This window comes from Homo sapiens, chromosome 5 (assembly GCF_000001405.40).
Source record: "Homo sapiens chromosome 5, GRCh38.p14 Primary Assembly".
Lineage (NCBI taxonomy): Eukaryota > Metazoa > Chordata > Mammalia > Primates > Hominidae > Homo > Homo sapiens.
The window spans coordinates 13,466,740-13,491,431 of NC_000005.10; the positions used below are offsets into that span (position 1 = coordinate 13,466,740).

General features: G+C 39.5%; 1 long non-coding RNA gene across 2 annotated transcripts in view, besides 2 other annotated features; it reads right to left on the bottom strand.

Moving 5' to 3' along the window:
- LOC105374660 (uncharacterized) overlaps positions 1-24,692 on the bottom strand; it is a 184,231-nt gene that overhangs the window by 70,620 nt on the left and 88,919 nt on the right. The window lies entirely within an intron of this gene.
- Positions 7,613-8,113: an enhancer, noted in NCBI's record as "H3K4me1 hESC enhancer chr5:13474462-13474962 (GRCh37/hg19 assembly coordinates)". NCBI's record gives its function as "activates a minimal SCP1, AML or CMV promoter by ChIP-STARR-seq in primed H9 embryonic stem cells {active_cell/tissue: H9 hESC(primed)}" and the evidence as "EXISTENCE:reporter gene assay evidence [ECO:0000049][PMID:30033119]".
- Positions 8,114-8,614: an enhancer, noted in NCBI's record as "H3K4me1 hESC enhancer chr5:13474963-13475463 (GRCh37/hg19 assembly coordinates)". NCBI's record gives its function as "activates a minimal SCP1, AML or CMV promoter by ChIP-STARR-seq in primed H9 embryonic stem cells {active_cell/tissue: H9 hESC(primed)}" and the evidence as "EXISTENCE:reporter gene assay evidence [ECO:0000049][PMID:30033119]".

A 24,692-nucleotide genomic window follows, 5' to 3' on the forward strand; every position in this document is an offset into this window, starting at 1 on the left:
ACAAATTATTTTTATTTTACTTTAAGTTCTGGGATACACGTGCAGAACGTGCAGGTTTGCTACATAGGTGTACATGTGCCGTAGTGATTTGCTGCACCTATCAACCCATCATCTAGGTTTTAAGACACGCACGCATTAGGTATTTGTCCTAACGCTCTCCCTCCTCTTGCCCCCAGCCCCCAACAGGCCCTGGTGTGTGATGTTCCCCTCTCTGTATCCATGTGTTCTCATTGTTCAACTCCCACTTATGACTTAGAACATGCAGTGTTTGGTTTTCTGTTCCTGTGTTGGTTTGCTGAGGATGATGGTTTCCAGTTTCATCCACGTCCCTGCAAAGGACATGAACTCACTCTTTTTTATGGCTGCATAGTATGCCATGGTGTATATGTGCCACATTTTCTTTATCCAGTCTATCATTGATGGGCATTTGTGTTGGTTCCAAGTCTTTGCTACTGTAAATAGTGCTTCAATAAACATACATGTGTATGTGTCTTTGTAGTAGAACGATTTATAATCCTTGGGGTATATACCAAGAATGGGATTGCTGGGTCAAATGGTATTTCTGTAAAACCAGCTATTTTTAATATGCTAAAAAAACAACAAAAAAAAGTCTTAAAAACAGTGAAAGAAACATATGAGAATAATGTATTGACAGATAATATCAGTAGAAATATAAATTATTAAAATATAGAAATTATGAAGTTGAAAAGTACAATAACATGTTAAAATTTTGCTAGAGAAGCCCAATAACTGAATAGAGCTGGCAGAAGAAAGAATCAGCAAACTTGAAGAAGAATGCTCAATTGAGATTACCCAGCTTGACAAACAGAAAGAAAAAGAAAAATAAATAGAGCCTCAGAGACCTATGAGGTGCCATCAGCATACCAACCTACATAAAATGGGAGTCCAAGATTGAGAGTTGAGAGAAAAGGGGGCTGAAACAAAATTTCAAAAAATGATGACCAAAAACTCCCCAAATTTGATGAAAAGTAGTATTCTACACATTCAAGAAACATAATGAACTCCAAATAATATAAACTCAAAGATATTCACACTAGACATGTCATAAACAAATGTCAGAAAACAAAGATAAAATCTTGAAAGCAGCAAAGAGAAGCAATTCATCATATGAAAGGGATCCTCAATAAGGTTAAAATCGGTTTCTCTTCAGGAGTCATGGAGGAGAGCATACAGTGGGAAGCCATACCCTACGTGCTAGAAAATAGACTGTCAACAAAGAATTCTGTAATCAGAAAAAAATCCTCAAAACTAAAGGAGAAATGAAGACATTCCCAGATAAACAATTCCTTGCCCACTTCCCAAAACTGAATCCGTTTAGACTCAGAAACTGTTGCTTAAAAAGGTGGTCAGGTCCCCAGGAAGAAGGTCCCTGCAGCATCACAGCATGTGTAAAATGTAATGATTCCCCTACTCCTTCCACAAAGAGGCCTATAACCATTTACCTAGATAACTGCACTGAGGAAAGAGAAATAGTCAGATACTTTGAGAGCTACTAGACACACGCTCTATGTTGGTAGTACCTGGATTCTTAAAAGCATTGTCATAGCTCCCCTATTAGAGTATGGTGATGTAGGGGCCATGCTATAAGACCTTATGAAAATTTTGGCTTACAGTGTATTTAGAGTCTATGAACTCACTCTGTGGTTATTTCCCCAGTTTCCTCATGTATAATTGAGACTGACATATGTATTGGTCCATTCTCACACTGCTATAAAGATACTACCCAAGACTGGGTAATTTATAAGCAAAAGAGGTTTAATTGACTCACAGTTCTGCATGGCTGGGGAAGCCTCAGGAAACTTACAATCATGGTGGAAGGCAAAGGGGAAGCAGGCACTTTCTTCACGAGGCAGCAGGAGACAGAGAGCACGCAAGGGAAACTGCCACTTTAAAACCCATCAGATCTCATGGAACTCCCTCACTATCACAAGAACAGCATGGGGGAAACCACCTCCATGATCCAATCACCTCCCATCATGTCCCTCCCTTGACATGTGGGGATTACAATTCAAGATGAGATTTGGGTGGGGACACAGAGCCAAGCAATATCAACATACTTGGATGCTGAAGTAACCCACACATTGGATTTTTGGTCTCTGAAATCAAACCTCTCACACTGGGGCCAGTTCATCAGAGGCCTTTGAAACTGAACCGTCCAGAAGAAGCTGGTCTGATATGGCACTGGAATTCCTATTGCAGGTGTCACTAAAGTATCATCTCAGAGGCAAAACTATACAAGGAGTGGGTGCCATCCTCTAAGATGCAGTATCACATTGAATCAGAGCCCTCTATCTGGTGTCACATTCCCCATATGAAAAATGCATGGGTCCAGGAACCAAAGGATGAAAGCAGGAATGATCTCACTTCCCAATAATCCACTGGGGATTTTGTGCTCCCCATCTCTGCAACACTGGACTCTCTATGGTTAGAGATCCTAGACTCATTGGGGGTTGGGATGTGCCCATTTGCTGGAGGATACAGGAAGGGTCCTATTGAATTAAAATTAGTGGCTGTTGCCAGGGAACTTGGACTTCTTGTGTCCAAGGACTAACATGAAAGACAGACAGTCTCTTTCAGAGACAAATGACCTTGAAAGGTGGAAAGAGCTATAACTTCTATCACGCAGTGCAGCAAGGAGGAATATGTGTGTGAAACTCAAGTGATTCCATTTGGGCGCCCTTTTGTAATCTTGCCCGATTGTGACTGTAAGTAAATATATACAAAAACCCAAGCATGAGAAAGTGACACTTACTAGAAGTTCAGGTCTGTCAGAAATAAGGATTTGTATCATATCACCATGACAGCCACTGAAATCAGCAGAGGAGCAAATGGAAGGCAATGGGAATTTAGAAATAAATTTAGTAAAGGAGGGAAGAAGTGAGTACCAGTTTTAACCCTCAGACCAACTGCGGGAAACAAGACCACGTATCTCTTGTCAAGATGAGACTCCTTCACAGGCAGTCATTGTACCAAAGCTCCTCGTTGAGCTGGCTGAGACTTCCTGAGAGCTGCATTACAGTCTGAGGCTCTTCCTACCCAATCTTCCTTCATTCTCACCCTCCTCTCACAGATATAATACCTGCATCACAACCTAAAGCCTTTCTCTGTTCACTCTCCTATTTATTTCCCCCACATTCAACGTCCGGCATTTCTAACCTACCTTGGCATCTACTTCCCAGAAAACCCAACTCTCTCACCATAAAAGGGTGTCGAGAGCCACAGGGCATTATCACAGATGGTCAGTTGAGTCATGTAGACAGGGTAAAGAGACTGAAACAGGAAGATCACTAAGCCCATTTTTACTAAATATAAAGAAAATTCCTGTAAAACTTTTTTAATGTTTGTCTTCATTCTTTAGTCTTCAAGAGAATATCAAAGTTTAAATCTGGGTATGGGAAAATTTTTTATTAAATTATGTTATGCCTCTTTCCCCTTAAGGGAAATTTAAAAACTGCAGTAGTTTAGGTTTAGACATTGGAGAATTACTGGTCTCAATTATACAAGAAATTTGAGGCAATGTTATGTTTGTTAGTAGAACCTAGCCACATGAATGTCATAATTCCTGTCAATTAAGATAAAGTCATTGAGCCAATAATAACCAGATCCTCTTCTGACTGGGTCTTAGGAGGAAATGTCAAAGTGGAATAATCACTTCCTCTGGTTTAACAGTCTTCAATGAAGACCACTCAGGATCAAGCCTGCTTCTAATGGATATAGCAGAGAGGTGGTAGATGACAGTACAGTGAGTGATAGAGGGCCAGGGAAGGTCTCCAGCTAGACACTCCATTTGCTTATTCAGATAATACTCTGGATCCTAATTTAAACCTAATGACTTTCCTGTATGAATAATTCAAGCAACAAAAACAGAAAAATCTCTGCAGCCATGGTGCCAGGGTCTGTTAATATCACATCCATCTCCAGCCACAACCATTTTAAGAGAAGATTCCTACATCATGCAAATAACCTACAGTAGCCCAGGAGTAGAAGAAGGAGACAAAAGCTCAGGTCAAATAGCTAAATCAGTCCCACTCAGCCTCTGTGAAATGAAGAGTGGGGGGAGTAAAACCAAAAACTGCTGGGCCACATATGAATGGGTAACTATTGTCCTTCATATCTTTTCCTTCTCTATCCACAATGCTCCCAAATATTCCTTTTTCTTTTCAAAAAATAAATAAGTAGTTGGTTATGAAACTGTAGATACACTGGGGTGAATTTAGGTAAGCCTAACGTAAAAAGCTATTGTTTAAATGATACTATTCCACTAATTGAATGAAGCTTGAACTCTATCAGATTAAGTTAGTTGTGTGGCATAGAAGATGAAAAATAGGACTTTAGTGGCAAATAAATTTACTGTTACATGCATTACAAAGTCATTTCTTTGTCAAGCTGCCTGTCACCTTTAAGAGTCATTCAAAAAACATCTGTGTAGTAATTGTCACTTAATCTTAGCCTTGGGAAATGTGTAAGGTTTGAATGGGTGGATAGAAAGATTGACATTTCATATGAAAAGAAGAATATTTCACATGAAAAGCAAATTTGCAGTCAGGAAGCTATTAATCAGTGGATAATTGCATAGAGATGAGGAATGATTGATAAGACAGAAGATTTTAGATGGAAACAGATTTTTTATTTTTTAAATGTTGAGATTTTTAACAAATATCCTATTTATTTTTTTTATTCCTCACAACTAAGGTAAGCCATATCATCTCCATTCTGCAGATAAGAAAACTAGGATTTCAAGAGACTATCTAGTTCAAGATCACACTACTAGAAGGTTGACAGGCTAGAGATAAAAGTTCAGGTCAAACAGCTAAATCATCCCCACTTAGCCTCCATGAAATAAAGAGTAGTGGGGAGGCGAATGATACCAGAAAATCCTGGGCCCCTTAAGAGAGATTTTTTCATTGCTGGATGAAGATAGTGAAATTTATCCTGCAGGCAAAAGAGCTGCAGCACACTTTTGTGTTTCAGACATGATGTTGAAAGTGGATTGTTATTCTAGTGGAAAGTAGGGTGATTAGTTGGGGATGAAATGGTGGTCCAAAGGTGGGAGGACTTTGCGAGAACTCCAGTGCCCACTGCTTGTCTCCTTGGCTCAGCCTGCTCTCTTTATCTTTGTGGGGCTAATGGAAGTGCCCTCAAAGATGAAGTTCACAGATACATTTTAATTCTTACAACTACCATTTTTCTTCTTCAATTAAGCAAAGGATAACTTGTGACTATACTTTTTGTCTTATTTCCTCACTCCCTTTACATTTAGAGCCTTTCTAGAGCAAGGTATTTTGCACAAATTTCTAAATAGTAGTTTGTAGGCTAGCAACTTCAAAGTCTTATAGGATCTCCAAAAGGGGTGCTAACTGTTATTTGTCCCCTGAGCATTGGAACATTTTTTCGTAAGCTTGCACATTTGTGCATAAGAGAACCCAAAGAACATACCCATGCTCATAGCAGCAGTATTCATAATAGCCAAAAGGTAGAAGTAACACAAATGTCCATCAGTAGATGAAATGAAGAAAATGTGGTATATACCTAATGGAATATTATTCAAACTTAAAAGGGAAGGAAATCCTGCCTCATGCTACAACATGGATGAACCTTGAGAACATGATACTAAATAAAATAAGCCAGTTAGACAGACATATACTATGTGATTTCACTTATATGAGTTATCTAAAGCAGTCAAATTAACAGAAGAAAAAAGAATGGCAGTTGCTGGGGCTGTGGGGAGGGGAAATGGGGAATTGTTGTTCAGTTGGCATAGAGTTTTAGTTCTGCAAGATTAAAAAGTTATAGCAATCTGTTGCACAACAATATGAATTTACTTACCACCACTGAACTGTACAATTTAAAATGGTTAAGATGGTAAATGTTATGCTTAGTATTTTTACCATAATTAAAAATAAAAAATATTAAAATAGAAAAACATACTTATTCACAACAGTATATCCTTGAATAAAACATTTGATGATTAAACATCATGCGAAGTAGGATAATAAAAAGTACTTATTGAGCACAAAAATAAAAATAAGAACCCAAAAGAGCTGTTGATGGAGCAGAGCTTTGTACTTCCCTTGGGTCCAGAAGACACCTAATGACAACCACAGGTGTGAAGAAGGCAAAGACTGAAACCCAGGGTTCCAGGGAGAGGTTAACATTCATTGAGTTTACGGATACATCAAGCGAGGCTCCGCACTTTTATTTGCTTTATTGCTTTTTTCCTCTCCCTAGACCCTGGGCCTAAACGCAGACATGATGGATGCTCTTGTCATATTGTGTGCTGATAACTGTCAGCCTTCCCCTCCCATTCTCACTATAATTTCCTTTAGGAGGTTTGACTTGCTACTGGCTGAGTTCGGAGAAAGCCATTCTTGTCAGACTTAGGAGAAAAGAGAGAGAAGAAATATGGATTTGTGAGTCCAGTTTAAATGAAAAGGTAGCACTTTCCCTGGAAATATTAAATTGGAGGCCATGATTCAGGCTTTCGGGTTTCACTCTAGTTATTCAGCTTTCACTTAAAAAACAGGACTTGGAAGAAAAATATAATCTCAATATTTATCAAAAACATTCAGGGAAAATCATCCCAGTGCTCCCTTGAGAATTAATAAGAAATAACAATTAATAACATATTTTATTTCACAGATGCCAAGTATTTCGGGTGCCCAAGATCTTAGGAATTGTTCATTGTATGCATGGCCCTTTGAGGAGGACTATGTGAGCTATGTGGCCTGTTTGGCCAATCAGGAAGCAACAGGGAATGTCATAGAGGGGATAATTGATGGGATTAAATATAATGCCACGTGTTGGAGGCAGATCAATCCATCTCGTTGATAAATGAAGGGCCACCCTGACAGCCAGTATCTAACTGACACAATAGGGAAGACAAACGTGAATTTGTTTCTAATCTTAAGGTATTCTGAAAGCAACTGATTGAATGGTATTCAACATCAGTGCTTACAATTTGATGTACAGATGCTACTATAGACATGTCTGAGAAAAGTTAACAAATATAGAAGCTAAGTAAATGGTCACCCCAATTCAATAATAATATGATTTGGCTACGGCCCCACCCAAATCTCAATTTGAATTCCTGCATGTTGTGGGAGGGACCTGGTGGGAGATAATTGAATCATGGGGGCAAGTCTTTCCCATGCTGTTCTCATAATAGTGAATAAGTCTCATGAGGTCTGATGGTTTTATAAAGAGGAGTTCCCCTGCACAAGCTCTCTCTCTTTGCCGGCCACCATCCACGTAAAAAGTGACTTGCTCCTCCTTGCCTTCCACCATGATTGTGAGTCCTCCCCAGCCATGTGGAACTGTAAGCCCAATTAAACCTCTTCTTTTGTAAATTGCCCAGTCTCTGGTATGTCTTTATCAGCCCCATAAAAATGAACTCATGCAGTAAATTGGTACCAGTAGAGTGGGACATTGCTGAAAAGATGCCTGAAAATGTGGAAGTGACTTTGGTACTAGGTAAGAAGCAGAGGCTGGAACAGTTTGGAGGGTTCAGAGGAAAACAGGAAAATGTGGGAAAGTTTGGAACTTACTAGAGACTTGTTGAATGGCTTTGACCAGAAGCCTGATAGCATATGGACAATAAGGTCCAGGCTGAGGTGGTCTCAGATGGAGATGAGGAACTTGTTGAGAACTGGAGCAAAGGTGACTCTTGTGATGTTATAGCAAAGAGACTGGCGGTATTTTACCCCTTCCCTAGAGATTTGTGGAACTTTGAACTTGAGAGTGATGATTTAGGGTATATCTGGTGGAAGAAATTTCTAAGCAGCAAAGCATTCAAGATGTGACTTGGGTATTGTTAAAGGTATTCAGTTTTAAAACAGAAGCAGAGCATAAAAGTTTGAAAAATTTCAAGCCCACTGCAGAAATTTGCATAAGTAATAAGGAACCTAACGCTAATCTCCAAGACAAAGGGGAAAATGTCTCCAGGGCATGTCAGAGGTCTTCACATCAGCCCCTCCCATCACAGGCCCAGAGGCCTAGGAGAAAATTGTTTTGTGGGCCGGGCCCAAGGTCCCCATGCTGCGCGCAGCCTAGGGACTTGGTGCTCTGCCTCCCAACTGCTCTAGCCATGGCTGAAAGGTGCCAACATAACGCTCAGGCCATGGCTTCAGAGGGTGCAAGCCCCAAGCCTTGGCAGCTTCCACGTGGTGTTGAGCTTGCAACTGCACAGAAGTCAAGAATTGGGGTTTGGGAACCTCCATCTAGATTTCAGAAGATGTATGGAAACACCTGGATGCCCAGACAGAATTTTGCTGTAGAGGCAGGGCACTAATGGAGAATCTCTGCTAGGGCATTTTTGTGGAAGGGAAATGTGGGGTTGAAGCCCCCACCCAGAGTCCCTACTGGGAAACCACCTAGTGGAGCTGTGAGAAGAAGGCCACCATCCTCCAGATCCCAGAATCGTAGATCCACCGACAGCTTGCATTGTGTGCCTGGAAAAGCCACAGAAACTCAATGCCATCCCATGAAAGCAGCCAGGAGGTAGGTGGTACCCTGCAAAGCCAAAGGGGCAGAGATGTCCAAGACCATGAGAACCCACCTCTTGCATCAGCATGACCTGGATGTGAGACATGGAGTCAAAGGAGATAATTCTGGAGCTTTAAGATTTGACTGCCCTGCTGGATTTTGGACTTGCATGGGGCCTGTACCCACTTTGTTTTGGCCAATTTCTCCCATTTGGAATGGCTGTATTACCCAATGCCTGTACCCCTGTTGTGTCTAGGAAGTAACTAACTTGCTTTTGATTTTACAGGCTCATAGGTGGAAGGGACTTGCCTTGTCTCAGATGAGACACTGGACTGTGGACTTTTGAGTTAATGCTGAAATGAGTTAAGACCATGGAAGACTGTTGGGAAGGCATGATTGGTTTTTAAATGTGAGGACATGAGATTTGGGAGGGGCCAGGGTGGAATGATATGGTCTGGCTGTGTCCCCACCCAAATCTCATCTTGAATTCCCATGTGTTGTGGGAGGAACCTGGTGGGATGTAATTGAATCATGGGGGGCAAGTCTTTCCCATGCTGTTCTCATGATAGTGAATAAGTCTCATGAGATCTGATGGTTTTATAAAGAGGAGTTCCCCTACTCTCCCTTTGCCTGCCACCATCCATGTAAGATGTGACTGGCTCCTCCTTGCCTTCCACCATGATTGTGAGGCCTCATTAGCCATGTGAAACTGTAAGTCCAATTAAACCTCTTTCTCTTGTAAATTGCCCAGTCTCAGGTACGTCCTTATCGGCAGCATGAAAACAGACTAATACAAATAATATCAGAGGAGCCCCCGATTTAAAACCTCAACATATCTTGTCAGCTTCCCAATAACCAAGGCAGAATATGTTGATCTTTTTCAAGGGGTAATTCCAAAAAGTTCAGAGACTTAGCACAGGGAAGCTCCACTGGGAACCATCTCAATCCCTTTGGAGGAACAAAACTAGGCTGCAAACCTCAACCAAAGGAAAAAATCCCGTGAGACAACCTTTTATTTTTTTCAGACCTTCAGTTTCCTAAAATTTTATAGATTTTAATTCAGTGTGGACATAAAACATTGATATCAAATTTAATTTCTTGGAAAATAAAAGTTTGCTTTCATTTCTTTTTTTCCCTGGTATATTGCTACACAAGTCAAAGTTAAAGATGCTATAGAAAACCTAGGCAGCAATTTTATTACAGCTGGCTTTTGAAAGTTCACAGAAGGCTGCAATCATAAATGTCATTTTCATTAGAATAATGTGAAAGGTTACATGCCGCACAGAATAAGACAAGGCTCAGCCGTGGTTTACCATCTTTGAGTTTCCTGGTGTACAAATGATCCCTCGGGCATTACAGCCACAACACCTCACAGGCAAACCAAAGTGAATACATATAAAATAAAACTCTACTGGAAAGAATGCATGAGGTCCTGGCAGTGAAAATTCTATAGAAGTTAAACATTTTCTCATTTAACATACCCCCTCAAAAAAAAAAAAAAAAAAAAAAAAAACTTACCCAATGCTCAGCATTATCCCCGGGAATGCACTTCTAAATCTGCACTGTTTGGAGCTAAATGATAAAGGAACAGCAAGAGCTCTCTTTCAGAACACATAAGCTTATTTAAGACCACAGAAAAGACCATCTCCGGAAGGAAAAGGAAGTGTGTGTGTGTGTGTGTGTGTGTGTGTGTGTATGCATGTGCACACGTGCACACACACATGCATAGTCAGGTGTGTCTTGTGCATTTATGAGTATTCCTGAACAATTTTAACTTCTAAAATGTCACAAGAGTTTGGCTTCTTGTTTATCATTTAAAAAAACCAACTAGATACATTGATCCAGGATGCCAGGATGAAATTTAACTTTCCATGGCACTACCAAAGTAAGTGGACAATGCTGCGGGCTGCTGGTCACCAGTATCTGCATGCCCCCTCTTCATCTTCACTTGGGTCTCTGCTCAAATCCATCACCTCCTCAGAAGCTCACCTACGACTCTCTGATGAGGGAACACACACTCCCCCTGGCCAGGTTAATTTGATGAGTCAACCTGGCTCGGCTACAGTGCCCAATTGTTTGGTCAAATACTAATGACGATGTTGGTGGGAATGTATCCTGTAGATGTGATTAACATCTATAGAGGACTTTAGATAAAGATTACCCTTGATAATGTGTGTGGGACTTATGAAATCAGTTGAAGTTCTTAAGAGCAAAAACTGAGGTTTTCCCAAGAAGGAATTTTGCCTCAAGACTGCAACATAGAAGTAGTGCATTACATCAGCACCATGTGGGAAAGAAAAAAAAATAAAAAGGAGTAGTAGTACTTAGGTTTCCAACCCACCTAGTCTACCCTACAGATCATGGACTTGGCAGCCCGCACAATAACAACCACATGAATCACTTCCTTACAATGTCCGTCTCTCCCTCTCTCCTTCTCTCGAAATACATATATACTTTACTGGTGCTGTTTCTCTGGGGAATACTGACTGATACAGCCTGCTATTCTGTAAGTTTTCCATCTGACCACAGATCTGTCTGTAAGGCAAGGTCACTATATTGAATTGACCTAATCCAATTTGGCCCATCAAGAATGGTCAGATACATTTGATAAATATCACTTGTCTCCAGCAATTAAAGTTACATGGAAGTTTTAAGCCTTCTCTTCTACTACCTGGTTACCAGGGAGTTGTTACAATGAAAATGTGTTTTAGATGAAATAAATATTTTTAAAGCAAACTTTAAACAAAATAAACAGATTTTAGCCTACGTATAGACATACATTCTATTGGTTCTGTTTTTCTGCAGAAGTCTTACTGATACATCCCCTTTCTCTAATTCATCATTCTTCCTAACAATTGTCAGCACCAGCTAAAATACATATGTGGATGTTTATATTTTACTGGTACCTAGGACAGTGTCTGGGACCTAGAAGTCATCCAACTTATACCCATTTATGGGATGCATGGATGAGATGCTGACTTTCCCCAGTCACTGAAATGCTTTACATGAATTAATTCATTCAACCCTTCCTTCCAGCTAGCTCCTTATGAGGCTGATGTCACGTTTTGCTTCCATTTTTCAGGTGCTGAAACTTGGTTGTAGCGAGGTAGAGGGACCCCCCCCAAAAGTCACATAGCTAGCACAGGCGAAGGTGGCCATTAAACCAGGAAGCTGGTCCCCGGAGCCCACGCTCTCAAACACCACATTCTAAATCCCCTTGTGGGAGTTTTCAGCTTCAACAGGATATTGTTTAGAGAGACAATCTTTTTTTTTTAAGTTAAAACCACTAATCACATGTATTAATAAGGTTAAAATATTCTGTTAATTCTGTGATCTTGGGAATCTCACATGATTTGGAGGCACTCTGTTAGACTAGAAATGAGAAATTTTTAATTTAAAGGTGAAAAGAGGAAAAGGGAGTTGAAAAAAAGGAACATTCAATATCATCAGATGTTAAATAGACTTCAGTAAAAATAGTTTCCAAAAAATTAAAATAGAGCAAATTGGCTCACTGCAAAGATTCTAAAAGTAAACAGAGCTGAAAGATCATGGGAGATGTTTGAAAATGAAATATTTCTATCTTCACAAATTATCCTAGTGAGGAAGAAACCAATAAATAAGGTAGCAAAATCTAACAAGAAGGAGGCAGAGGCACAGGGTGATTCTCTAGCAAGCCCCAGAATATGATGCACGATAGAAATAGCGGCCACAATTAAACATTTTCCCTCTGGCCACACCTTCCACCGGGTCGCAGCTTCTGGTTCTGAGTCTCCAAGCCTGCTTAAAAACTGACCCAGAGTTTCTGGAACTCTGTCCCCACCTAGAGGCCTAACAGTAAATAAGAATGAAGGAATTGTAAAATGCAGAGCCGCAGTGCCCAGCGTGTGGCAAGCTCAGTAAACATAGCTATAATCATCACTGATAAAACAGCCTTTAATTATTCTGTAAGCACTTATGAAAGGAAGGGAGCATGCCTAGGAGCCAATAGCAAGTATGTCAGCCATGGAGCTTTCTCTTGGGATACTGCGTCTTGATGTCAGCAACATTTTTGACAAAAATTGCATGGATAGGTTTGTGGTCATCATCAAAAAAAAAAAAAAAGTATGCTGGGTTGTATGGTTAGTTAGCCTGATAGCTGAATAAGCAATGGTGTCCAAACATTGTGGATCTCACATAATACCTGACAACGAGTTTCCATGGTACTGGCTGGCAAGCGACAGATACTGCAAGGCTGGCATAGGTCTGCCCATACCTGATTGGAAGGCAGGTATCTTTATCATTAATAGCTTCTCACTCTAAATGTTTTTCCCCCTCTCTTTACTCTCCTCCTAGGCTTATGTCTAAACTTATTTTGCTACTGGGATAAAGGGGAGAGGAGTCAGCCTCTGTAACAGAGGCAAAGTTACATGTCCAAACTACATACACATCTGACAAAGGCCAGCTGCAGAGACCAGAGGGGCCAGAGCTGGTATTTGCAGATGGCAGCGTGGCCTCAGGCCCCCAAGTGAGCACTGCCTATAAAACTGTCTGACCTTGGAGGTGTACAGGGTTGGTGTGCTATGGTCAACTCCTCACCCCCAGCAAGGGGTCTACCCCAAAGTCTTTGTGTGGAATTCCTTTGTCTTTGGGGAGATTCTTTGGGGGCTGCCTAGAAATCAAGACCTTCCCTAGCTACATATGTTGCCACAGAAAAGTCGGATTTCCTGTCCTACCAACCTAATCCCCACAGGAAATGGGTCGGACTTAAGGTTCTGGAGATGGCCATGATCTTCTCCCAACCAGCTCTGCCATGTTTCTATCTTCTATAAGACTTCCCTGGTGCCATTGGAGCTTGTCTACGGGTACTGCCACGGAACAACCACCAGATGAAATTAAGTCTCAGGCCCCAAGTTCAGAAACACCACAATCTTTAGGGGAAATATGTCGAGTGGCCCTTTATCCAGTGATAAGAGAAAGAGCCACTGCTCTCTGAAGACCCTCAAAAACATTCTGTTCCTAAAGACCCCTCATTTCCCTTCCAAATCTCTGTGAAGTCATCTCCTTAGAGTGTAGGGGGGAGACACAGTGAGGCTGTCAGGTCCTTCCGTAGTTCTGGCTCAGGTTGTTAAGGTCTCCGTTGAGCCCGGACATTCACAGTCAGTGCGAGACTGGAAAGCAGCATTTAATGTGTCAAGTTATTGCTACAGAAAACACTGTATATGACCACATTACACCTGCTTAATACAAGTAAACAGTGGGATGTGGCTGCCATTAGCTATATGCTATAAAGATAGTGAACTGTTTATTGTCACCCAGGCCCTCTGCTCCCTGGCCCACCTAAAGCACTGTGCTGGGCGGACCAAAATGCCTTCTCCTTGAAAAAGAGTTTGAGAAAGCAGAGACCCGTTCGGGATTGAGTGCTGTCAGGAAGGAAGGGGGAGGCAATTCAGAGCTCTGATCTGTCATTTTTCCCTAGGAGTAGGGAGGATTTAAGAGCCCACTGCTGTTAAATCACATAGCACAAGCCCAAGTCTTATACTCTGCCTCTCCTAACTGCCTCTTACTTAGAGGCCCCATGTTTCCTCTGATGCTTATTTTCCCACATTGACACAAGTTTAATAAACCTAACTTTGACTCTAGTGAATTTATGGCAATCTTTGGCTAATGCAAATGGAAAACCAGACACTGTTGATTGCAATGTATTGTTTGAAGAGGATCCCTTGTCTTCTCAAATTTCACTGTGCATATAAATCAAATTGCGGTCTTGTTAAAATGCATACTCAGATTCAACAGGATGACGGGGGTGGGGCCTGAGAGCTTGCATCTCAAGCATGCTCCAGGTGATGCCCTTGCTCCTGGCCTGAGGCACACACTGAGTAGCAAGGATCTGGTACACTGGATCTCAAACCAGATATTTTTTTAAATCACCTGGAGAGCTGCAAAAAAATTACTGAAATTTGGATCTCACTCCCAGAGATTCTGATGTAATTGCCACCATCAAGGCAGATGATTCCAATATGCAGCAAAATCTGGGAAATATTTTCTACTATCTTATCATAGAGTGTGGAAGGCATTGAGGAGCTAAAATAGCAATTGCAAAGAAAACTGTACAGATAAACCAGGGCATGAGAAGGAAGAGAGAAAAGATGGAGAATTTAGAAGCATTTTGCATTTCTGGGATCGCAGAAGTAAGAAAGTTGAGCCAGGAATAGTGGGATGCTAAGTAAGGTTATAGGTCTGGCTAGAGTGTGCTTAGTGCATTCTGTGTTACGCTGGTAATAGGGCTCTTACCCTGTGATAATGATGATAATGTGCAATCTACATGTAAATTAAATAAATAGTAATAAAAGACAAGAGTTCTGGGAGTATGGTCAGCTCCACCATGAAGAAAGGTCAGGTAGGACAATAGAGGTTTTGAGCCACAGAGAAGAATGAAGACACAAAGAGGAAGAACATAAATTATGCATAAAAGAGCTAAGCAACCTATGTTCTTCTAGGGCTTCTGGGTCCTGCTGACCTATAGCTTCTCTCACTGCCCTAGGTCAAATCAATATATGTAATAAATTATGCATTTACTTCCCTCATCTTTCTACTCTTCAATTATCACTTCTGGAAAGTGAAAGGCATATGCCTTCCCTACAATGCCCAGAATAAATCTGCTCCTTGACTTACTGACTCAAGCATCACCATGGTCCAGGGCATTGGGTTTATCCAGAAGAGGGATCAGAATCATAAGTCAAGAGAACTGCCAAGAAATATGGTGATGAATCCTCTCTGCCATGCACCTACACCTGCTCATGCGAGAGCCCAGCTGCTGTGGAATTTTCAACACCAGTAGTTTCCATGAAGGATGGCTGTCTTTGCTTTGAGATGCCTCTGCAGAAGCTACCAAGGTGAACTTATCACTCTCCAAGGAGTCTTGTGTTTGAACAATGCCATCCCAAGCATACTCCCCAATTTCAGTAAAGATCTATACTCTGCTGAACCAGATAAATGAACTGCTGTAAATACGAGGAGAACATTTTTATGTTTAATATCAGATTCCAATAGGTAAGGATGGTAGCCTTCAGCCTATTGCCTTCTATGAGTTTTAAATGTGACCCTAGCCAGTCCTAAAGATGTGCCTTTTCCTCAAGCAAAGTAACATGTCTGAATGAGAATAGTCCCTCCTTAGAACATCAAAAGCCCTCACTTGCTCTCACAGTGGAGCAGGATGCAGCTAAATAATTTATGAATACCTCAGCTATATAAAGGAAATTAAAGATGACACTTTTATTCTTTAATATTCTTCTATTCTCCAATGCTCATTTTCTCTACTGATTATGTATAAAATCCTGAGGATAATTCCCACAGCACACAGAGCTCTGATCATGACTACTAAGATCAAGAATTACTTGTCTTTGTGATCCTACCTGCAGGAATTGGCCAGGATGACAAGACCAGCCTCACTCGGGGAGTGGGCACAGATAGTGTCTGTCTGGGGGCTCAGATTCTAGAGCACCCAGGCTACCCAGCTCCTTTTGGTTGATCTCTTAAATTTCACTCTTGAGTGACTGTCCCTTGATCACATTTGAGAGCTCACATTTGTGCCGTGTTTAATTGTGAATTAAACATCTGAGCCTGCGTTCTTATTGCAGCTCAGGAAAAGCTGAAAGAAAGCTGAGCAGATGAAGACAGTCAGGGGAGTGGAAGAATGACTTCCCCTCTCTCTCAAAGACCCAGTTCAAGCTTCTCCCATTGCTCTGTGCACCTCTCACCTCCTTTCTCCCTTGTCCCCCCCCACTCCCTTGCCTAGCCAGACAGGAAGGAAGCTGAAGGCCAGCAGGGACCCCAGGCTCCCGGAGAGGAATAGCGCCCAAAAGGATCACCTGGTGGAGGTCACAATTTGAACGGATGCGTGGATGCTCCCAGCTTTTGCAAAAGACAGTGCTTCAAAGTACACTGATTTGCTCTTTCTTCCTCTCATTAATCTTGATGCTTGGTGTTGCTAAAAAGAGGAAAAGCCTTCAGAGTCTAATCAGAAGTGAGAGCTTCAGCAGCTTCTACTCCTCAACACATACTCCCCCTGGGTCCTCTCCCACCTTTCTGTTCCCACCTTGTTCACAAAGCACGCCTTTCCAGAAGAGAACCAATAAAAATAGCAGCAGTTGTAAAACAATGTTTTATGTGTTGTTTCAGGTAAATATCTGTCTCACAGTAGGGAAAGCATTTCCAAGCATAGAAATAAAGAAAAGAGAACATAAAGTAAAAGTTTGATGGGTTCGATCACATAAAAATTTAAAATGTTTATGCAACAAAAGCTTCCAAAAGCAAAATCTCAAAAACACAAACTAGAAGGAAATTGGGACACCATAAATAACAGACAATGGGTCATTATTCCTAATACATAAAATGCTCTTACACAGTAGAAAGAGATGAATATGCCACTAGGAAAATTGGCAAAATGGGAAAGGCTGATGCACAAGATAAAAAAATACATATGGACAATAAAAATATTTCTTCAAGTTCAACTTATGGTCAAATCAAAGGACTTTAAATGCTGGGCTCATTTTTAACACATCATATAAGCAATTGTTTTACAATAATACTCATTATTAGTGAGGTTATAAGACAGTGGATATTTATATGTCACTAGTGAGAATGTTACCTGTTACATCCTTTTTAATAGGTAATTTATCAATATTCATCAAAATTCTTAAAAATTTTCTATAATGTTTGACTTACTAACTCTAATTCTATGAATTTACTGTGAGGAAACAGTCAAAGATATAAACAATTATTTATTAATAAAGATGTTAAACACAGGGTCAGTTATAAAGAAGAGAAACAACTTATATGTATGACAGCCTAAATCTTAAACATAAGTGGTATGTAATATCCAGAACAAGAAATATTGGTCATTCACTAAAATCTATATTTTAAAATGATATTTGATGACATGGATAAATATTCACATTTTTAAAAATGACTTAAAAGTTATAACAGTATGGTCTATAAACCTGTTTCTATTTATTTGTGAATGTGTGTAGGAGTATGTGTATCCCTTGAAGCAGTGACACATACACAGTGGGGATCCAGGAGTAATGTGACCACTCAAGACTAAAGTTTCTCAGGGAGCTTTATTTTTCTGTATTCCTCCAATCTATGATTAATATATAAATATCTTCAGAAAAAAATAAAATTTTTAGAAATTGTACATGTTTTAATTGATCAAAATGTCATTATCCATTATACTCTGCAACAGAATATCCAATCTACTTTTTAATTGCATTCCTATCAAAATGCCCATCAAAGGAGCTGTGGCCCTGGAAGAAAAGAATATTTCTACATGACAAACCCAGCAAACACTGTGCCCTCCGCATTTGATCATACTAACAGACAACTCTTCTAATAATGTTTGAATCCGTTACCAGCCCACAGAAAACAGGCAATCCCCAAACTCCAAATTAAGGTCTTAGACACTTTAGGCTGCTGCAACAAATTACCATAGACTAGGTGGCTTAAACAACACTGACTTATTTCTCACAGTTCTGGGGGCTGGGAAGTTCAAGATCAAGGTGAAGGCAGATTCAGTTTCCACATGGCCATCTTCTCATTGTATGGCCAAGAGCAAGAAGCAGCTCTGGAGTTTCTTAGGTGCTTCAGAGAGCACCTACATGAGGGCTCCACCCTCATGACCTAATTACCTCCCAAATACCTCACTTCCTAATACCATCACGTGCGGGAAAATGCAAACATTCAATCTATAACAAGGTTTATAAACAACCATTATAAAGATCTCATATATTTTGGAACAGTGCCTATTTCAAAGTATGCTATAAATATAAAGCTTTTGGGGCCAAGCATTGTGGTTCATGCCTGTACATCCCAGCACTTTAGGAGGCTGAGGTGGGCAGATCGCTTGAGCCCAGAAGTTTAAGACCAGCCTGGGCAACATGGCCAAACCCTGTCTCTACAAAAAATACAAAACCTAGCTAGCTGGCACATGCTTGTAGCCCCAGCTACTTGGGAGGTTGAAGTGGGAGAATCACTTAAGCCCAGGAGGACTAGGCTGCAGTGCGTTGTGATCTTGCCACTCCAGCCTGGGTGACAGGGCAAGACCATGTCTCAAAAAAAAAAAATGCAAACATATATATATATATATATATATATATATATATATATATGGCAAAAAGTTTGTAAAAATTGCAAGACTTAAAAACCACATTGAATTCTATGGAATGAAATTACTCAATGTAATCGAATTTTTATGTCATTGTATTTCTTCACCTTTATCTAGAATTTTTCTCCTAGAATTGTCAGATTTAGAGTGGTTTGGATATTTGGTCCTCAGTGGGATGGGAAAGTACACTGTGAGGAGAGTTCTGTACACATGGCATCCCTAAGCAGCCTATGACCAAGCTCAAATATGGCATTTTTGTATGTCCTAATCCAACTGAAAAATAGGCATTATAAAATATTTCTCCATCTGGTGATGGCACATTTTCCACATGGAATTCTCCATCAAATGTTATAAGACATAAGCTCCCAATTGATCTAATTTGGTCTACATTTTCTGCTCATCTTTTGTTCTTTTGAGAAATGGCAGTGCCTTTACAGTTTGTCTTTTATGGTAAGCTGCATCTTTTCCAAAGTGCAGTGATGCGTGGTTCCCAAGATGTGTTAATCCTGGTGAGATTTACCCTTCTCCCCTAGAGATTTCACTAAGCACCAACCCGCTCCTGGTGTTTATCATTTTAATGAGGCTCCTTAAAGAGCATCTCCTCAAAACAGACTTTCAGGTAGTCTCCTAAAAAAGCTAATGTGAATTCACTGATCCTTCAATATTTAAAAATATTTCACTAGGAAGGATTTCTTGAGCCATCTCTAAAGCAAATGTAAGAGTTCTGATTTCTGTCTCACCTTGGCAATAACAGGGTTAATTTAGTCAAGTCACAATCTCTCTAACACTTGATTACTTTTTCTGAAAAATAGAGAGAGGTATGCATGTGTGTGTCATGTGTGTGTTATGTGTTCATCATATGGAATACAGCCTAGAAGGATGCACACCAAAATGTTAACAGTGGTCACCTCTGAGCAAAGAGATGATGGGTGGTATTTTTAATACGCTTTTCACAAATACATGAAATTTGCAAGGAACTAAATAGTAGTAAAAAAAAAAACAAACTCTAGTTTTACCTGATCTACCCTAGATCATAGCCTATTAAAATTATTGCTGAATATTAAATATACTTATAAATAAAAACAAAAATATTGATTTTTTGAGATGCTTTTAAAAGTCTAAGATTTAGTAAAATAATAGTTTTCATACAGTTTTATAATCTGGGAACAATACAATATTGTAACTAGGATTATGAACTAGTTCCTCTATGTAAAAGTAAGAGTTCTGAATTAAGAAGTAAAAACATGTAGGCTGGGCTGAGATTTTAAAAATTATAATTATTCACATTGTTCAGAAAAGACAAAGAAAATATCTTCTTTTTTTCTTTTTAATATCTTTTGTATAAATTTACAGAATGTCATCTTAAAGTAAAAGCTGGGAAAAGAAAATTTATGTACTCCTTGGGATTTTTCAGATTCGAGGGGATTTGATAAATTCTACCCCTCTTTCTCGGCAAGTTATAACTCAATTTAAAACTAAGATAAAATAGTAAAGCAAATAGAGAATCAAACTAGTTCCAATATTGCTGCTAAAGCTGATATTGGAGAATGCAGCATATGTCTGGTACAAGCAATTTTCTGATGCTGAATCCCCCAGTTGGACTGACTGACACCCTGTCATTGCTGTAGTACTGGACCATGCAGCACTGAACCACAGGGACAGGCCTCACTGCTAAGCTAACTCATGACAGCAACTAATGGAGAACATTTGCAATAGACTGAAGGTTTGTGTACCACCAAAAATCCATACATTAAAATTCTACCCCCCAATATGATGGAGGAAGGGCCTTTGGGAGGAGGTGCCTTTGAGAAGTGATCATCTCATAATAACAGAGCTCTCATGAATAAAATGAGTTCTCTTATAAAAGAGGCCCCTTTCTGCCATGTGAGGGCACACTGAGAAGACACTCTATGAGCCAGAAAGTGGACCCTCACCAGACACTGAATCTACCAGTATCTTGATCCTGCACTTCTATCCTCCAGAGCTGTGAGGAATAAATCCCTGTTATTTAGAAGACACCCAGTCTATGGTATTTTGTTGTAGCAGCCCAAATGAACTAAGACAACAATTGATATCAGTGAATAGAACAACTCCCAAGAGGAAGGGGAGATAAAGCCACAGACATAAATAAATTCCCTTCTTGTACTAAATTGTCCATTAGGTACACTTGCAGAAGGAATGAGTTAGGGGGTGAAGACCTGTCAGTCAAGAATATTGCATGGGCAATCATTCAGCAAGGATTAATAAGTGTCTCCTGCCAATCAAAGCAGGCATCTTTGTTCAGTACCTTGACACCACTGGTGATTAAAATATTCCACATCCATGAATTTATTTTTGATCTTAAATTTTCTTTAATTCAGAAATATTTCTTTTTTATTTATTTTTTAACTGACAAGTAAAAATTGTATATATTTATGGTATACAACATGTGATATATATCTACATTGTGGAATAGCTAAATCAAGCTATTTAACATGTACATTTCTTTCATATGCTTATTTTTTGTGGTGAGGACGCCTAAAATCTAATAGCTTAACAATTTTTAAATATATAATACACTGTTATCTTTAGTTGTCATGATGTACAATGGAGCTCTTAAGTTATTCCTTCTGTCTAACTGAAATTTTTTGTCTTTTGGCAAGGATTGCCCCAGTGCCTCTATCCCAAGCCTTGGGTAACTGCAATTTTACTCCCTATTTCTATAAGTTAGAATCTTTTACATTCCACATATAAGTGAGATAATGAGGTCTCTGTCGTTCTGTGCCCGGCCATTTGCTATGGTTTGAATGCGCCCTCCAAAACTCATTTGGAAACTTAATGCCCAATGTGGCAGTATTGAGAGATAGGGCCTTTAAGAGGAGAGTGGATCATAAGGGTTCTGCCCTCATTAATGGATTAATTCATTCGTGTTTTAATAGATTAATGGGTTAATGGATTAACAGGTTATCATTCAAGGAGAACTGGTGGCCTTGTAAGAAAAAGAAAAGAGACCCGAGTGTTAGTGTGCTCAGCCCCGTTACCATGTGATCCCCCGTACTGGCTTGGGACTCTCCAGAGAGTCTCCATCAGCAAGAAGGCTCTCACTAGAGGTGACTCCTCAACATTGGACTTCTCAGCCTCCACAATTTTAAGAAATACATTTATTTTCTTTATAAATTACCCACTTTCAGGTATTCTGTTATAAGCAACAAAAAATGGACCAAGACAGTATTTCTCTTAACATAATATCCTCCAGGTTTATCTATTTTATAACAAATGACAGGATTTTGTTTTGTTTTGTTTTGTTTTTTTACTTCTTTCTAACTTTCAGTTTCAGTTTGGGGATACGTGTGCAGGTTTGTTACATGAGTAGATTCCATGTCACACGGGTTTGGTGTACAGATTACTTTTTCACCCCAGTAATAAACATAGTACCCCCAATAGGTAGTTTTTCAATCGTCATCCTCCTCCCATTCTCCACCCTCAAGTAGGCGCCAGTGCTTATTGTTCCCTTCATTGTGTCTATGTGTACTCAATTTTTAGCTCTCACTTGTAAGTTAGGACATGTACTATTTGGTTTTCTGTTCCTGTATTAATTCACTTAGGATAATGGTCTGTAGTTCCATATGCGGTGCTGCAAATCACATGATCTTATTCTTTTTATGGCTGCATAGTATTCCATGGTGTATATGTACCGTATTTTCTCTATCGAGTCCACCATTGATGGGCATGTATGCTGATTCCATGTCTTTGATACTGTGAATAGTGCTGCAATGAACATATGCAAGCATGTGTCTTTATGGCAGAATAACTTATGTTCCTTTGGGTATATACCCAGTAGCAAGATTGCTGAGTTGAATGAATTGCTGCTGTAAGTTATTTGAGATATCTCCAAATTGCTTTCCACAGTGACTGAACTAATTTACATTCCCACCATCAGTGTATAAGCATTCCCTTTTCTCTGCAACCTCACCATCATCTGTTATTTTTTGACTTTTTTCTTTTTTTCTTTTTTCTTTTTTTTTTGAGATGGAGTTTCACTCTTGTTGCCCAGGCTTCAGTGCAGTGGCACAATCTTGGCTCACTGTCACGGATTCAAGCAATTTTCCTGCCTCAGCCTCCTGAGTAGCTGGGACTACAGGCACCTGCCACCACGCCTAGCTAATTTTTTTGTATTTTTAGTAGAGATGGGGTTTTGCCATGTTGGGCAGGCTGATCTCAAACTCTTGACCTCAGGTGATTCACCCACCTCGGCCTCCCAAAGTGCTGGGATTACAGGTGTGAGCCATCACGCCCAGCCATTTTTTGACTTTTTAATAACAGCCATTCTGACTGGTGTGAGATGTTATCTCATTGTAGATTTGATTTGCATTTCATTAATGATTAGTGATTTTGAGCATTTTTCCATAAGCTTGTTGGTTATGTATATCTTCTTTTGAGAAATGTCCAAGTTCTTTGCCCATTTTTTAATGGAGTTATTTGTTGCTTGTTCATTTTTTAAAATTCCTTATAGATTCCAGATATTAGACCTTTCTCAGATGCATAGTTTACAAATATTTTCTCCCATTCTGTAGGTTGTCTCTTTACTCCATTGATAATTGTTTTTGCTGTGCAGAAGAAGTTTTTCATGGGAGCTATAATCAACAAGGTCCCATTTGTCAATTTTTGTTTTAGTTGCAATTTCTTTTGGAGTATTTATCATGAAATCTTTGCCAGGACCTATGTCCAGAATGGTACTTTCTAGATTTTCTTCTAGGGTTTTCATAATTTTAACTTTTACATTTAAGTATTTAATTCATCTTGGGTTGATTTTTTTATATGGTGTAAGGAAGGGTCAAGTTTCAATCTTCTGCATACGGCTAGGCAGTTATCCCAACATGATTTATTGAATAAGGAGTCCTTTCCCACTGCTTGTTTTTGTCAACTTTGTTGGAGATCAGATGGCTGTAGGAGTGCAGCTTTATTTCTTGGTTGTCTCACCTATCCCGTTGGTCTATGTGTCTGTTTCTGTACCAGTATCATGCTGTTTTGCTTTAGCCTTATAGTACAGTTTGAAGTCAAGTAGTATGATGCCTCTGGCTTTGATCTTTCTGCTTAGGACAGCACTAAACTTTTAGGCTCTTTCTTGCTTCCATATAGATTTTAGAACAGTTTTTTTTTTTCCAATTCTGTGAAACATGTCATTGGTAGTTTGATAGGAATAGCACTGAATTTGTTCACTGCTTTGGACAGTATGGCCATTTTAATTATATCAATTCTTCCTATCCATGAGTATGAAATGTTTTTCCATTTGTTTGTGTAATCTGTAACTTCTTTCAGCAGTGTTTTGTAATTATCGTTGTAGAGGTCTTCTCCCTGTTTAGCTGTATTTCTAGTTATTGTATTCTTTTTGTGGCTATTATGAATGAGATTGCATTCATGATTTGGCTCTCAGCTTGGATGTTGTTGATGTATAAAAATGCTGATTTTTGTACATTGATTTTGTATTCTGAAAGTTTTCTAAAGTTGTTTATCAGATCTAGGAGCTTTTGGGCAGAGACTATGGGGTTTTCTAGGTACAGAATAATATCATTTGTGAAGAGAGACAGTTTTTCTCTCGTTTTTCTACTTCTTCCAGGTGTAATCTTAGATTGTTAATTTGAGATGTTTCTGATTTTTTGATGTTGGCGCTTAGTGCTATAAACTTCCATCTTAACACTGCTTTAATTGCGCCCCAGAGATTCTAGTATGTTATATGTTTGTTTTCAACAGTTTCCAAGAATTTCTTGACTTCTGCCTTAATTTCATTGTTTAACCAAAAGTCATTCAGGAGCAGGTTGTTTAATTTCTATGTAATTGTATGGTTTTGAGATATCTTCTTGGTATTGATATCTATTTTTACTGCACTGTAGTCTGAGAGTGTGGCTGTTATAATTTTAGTTTTGTGAATTCATGGAGAATTGATTGAGGGCCAAACATATGTTTTATGTTAGAGTATGTGCCATGTGCAAATAAGAGGAATGTATATTCTGTTGGGTGTAGTGTCCTGTATCTCCATGTCTATTAGGTCCATTTGGTCAAGTGTTGAGTT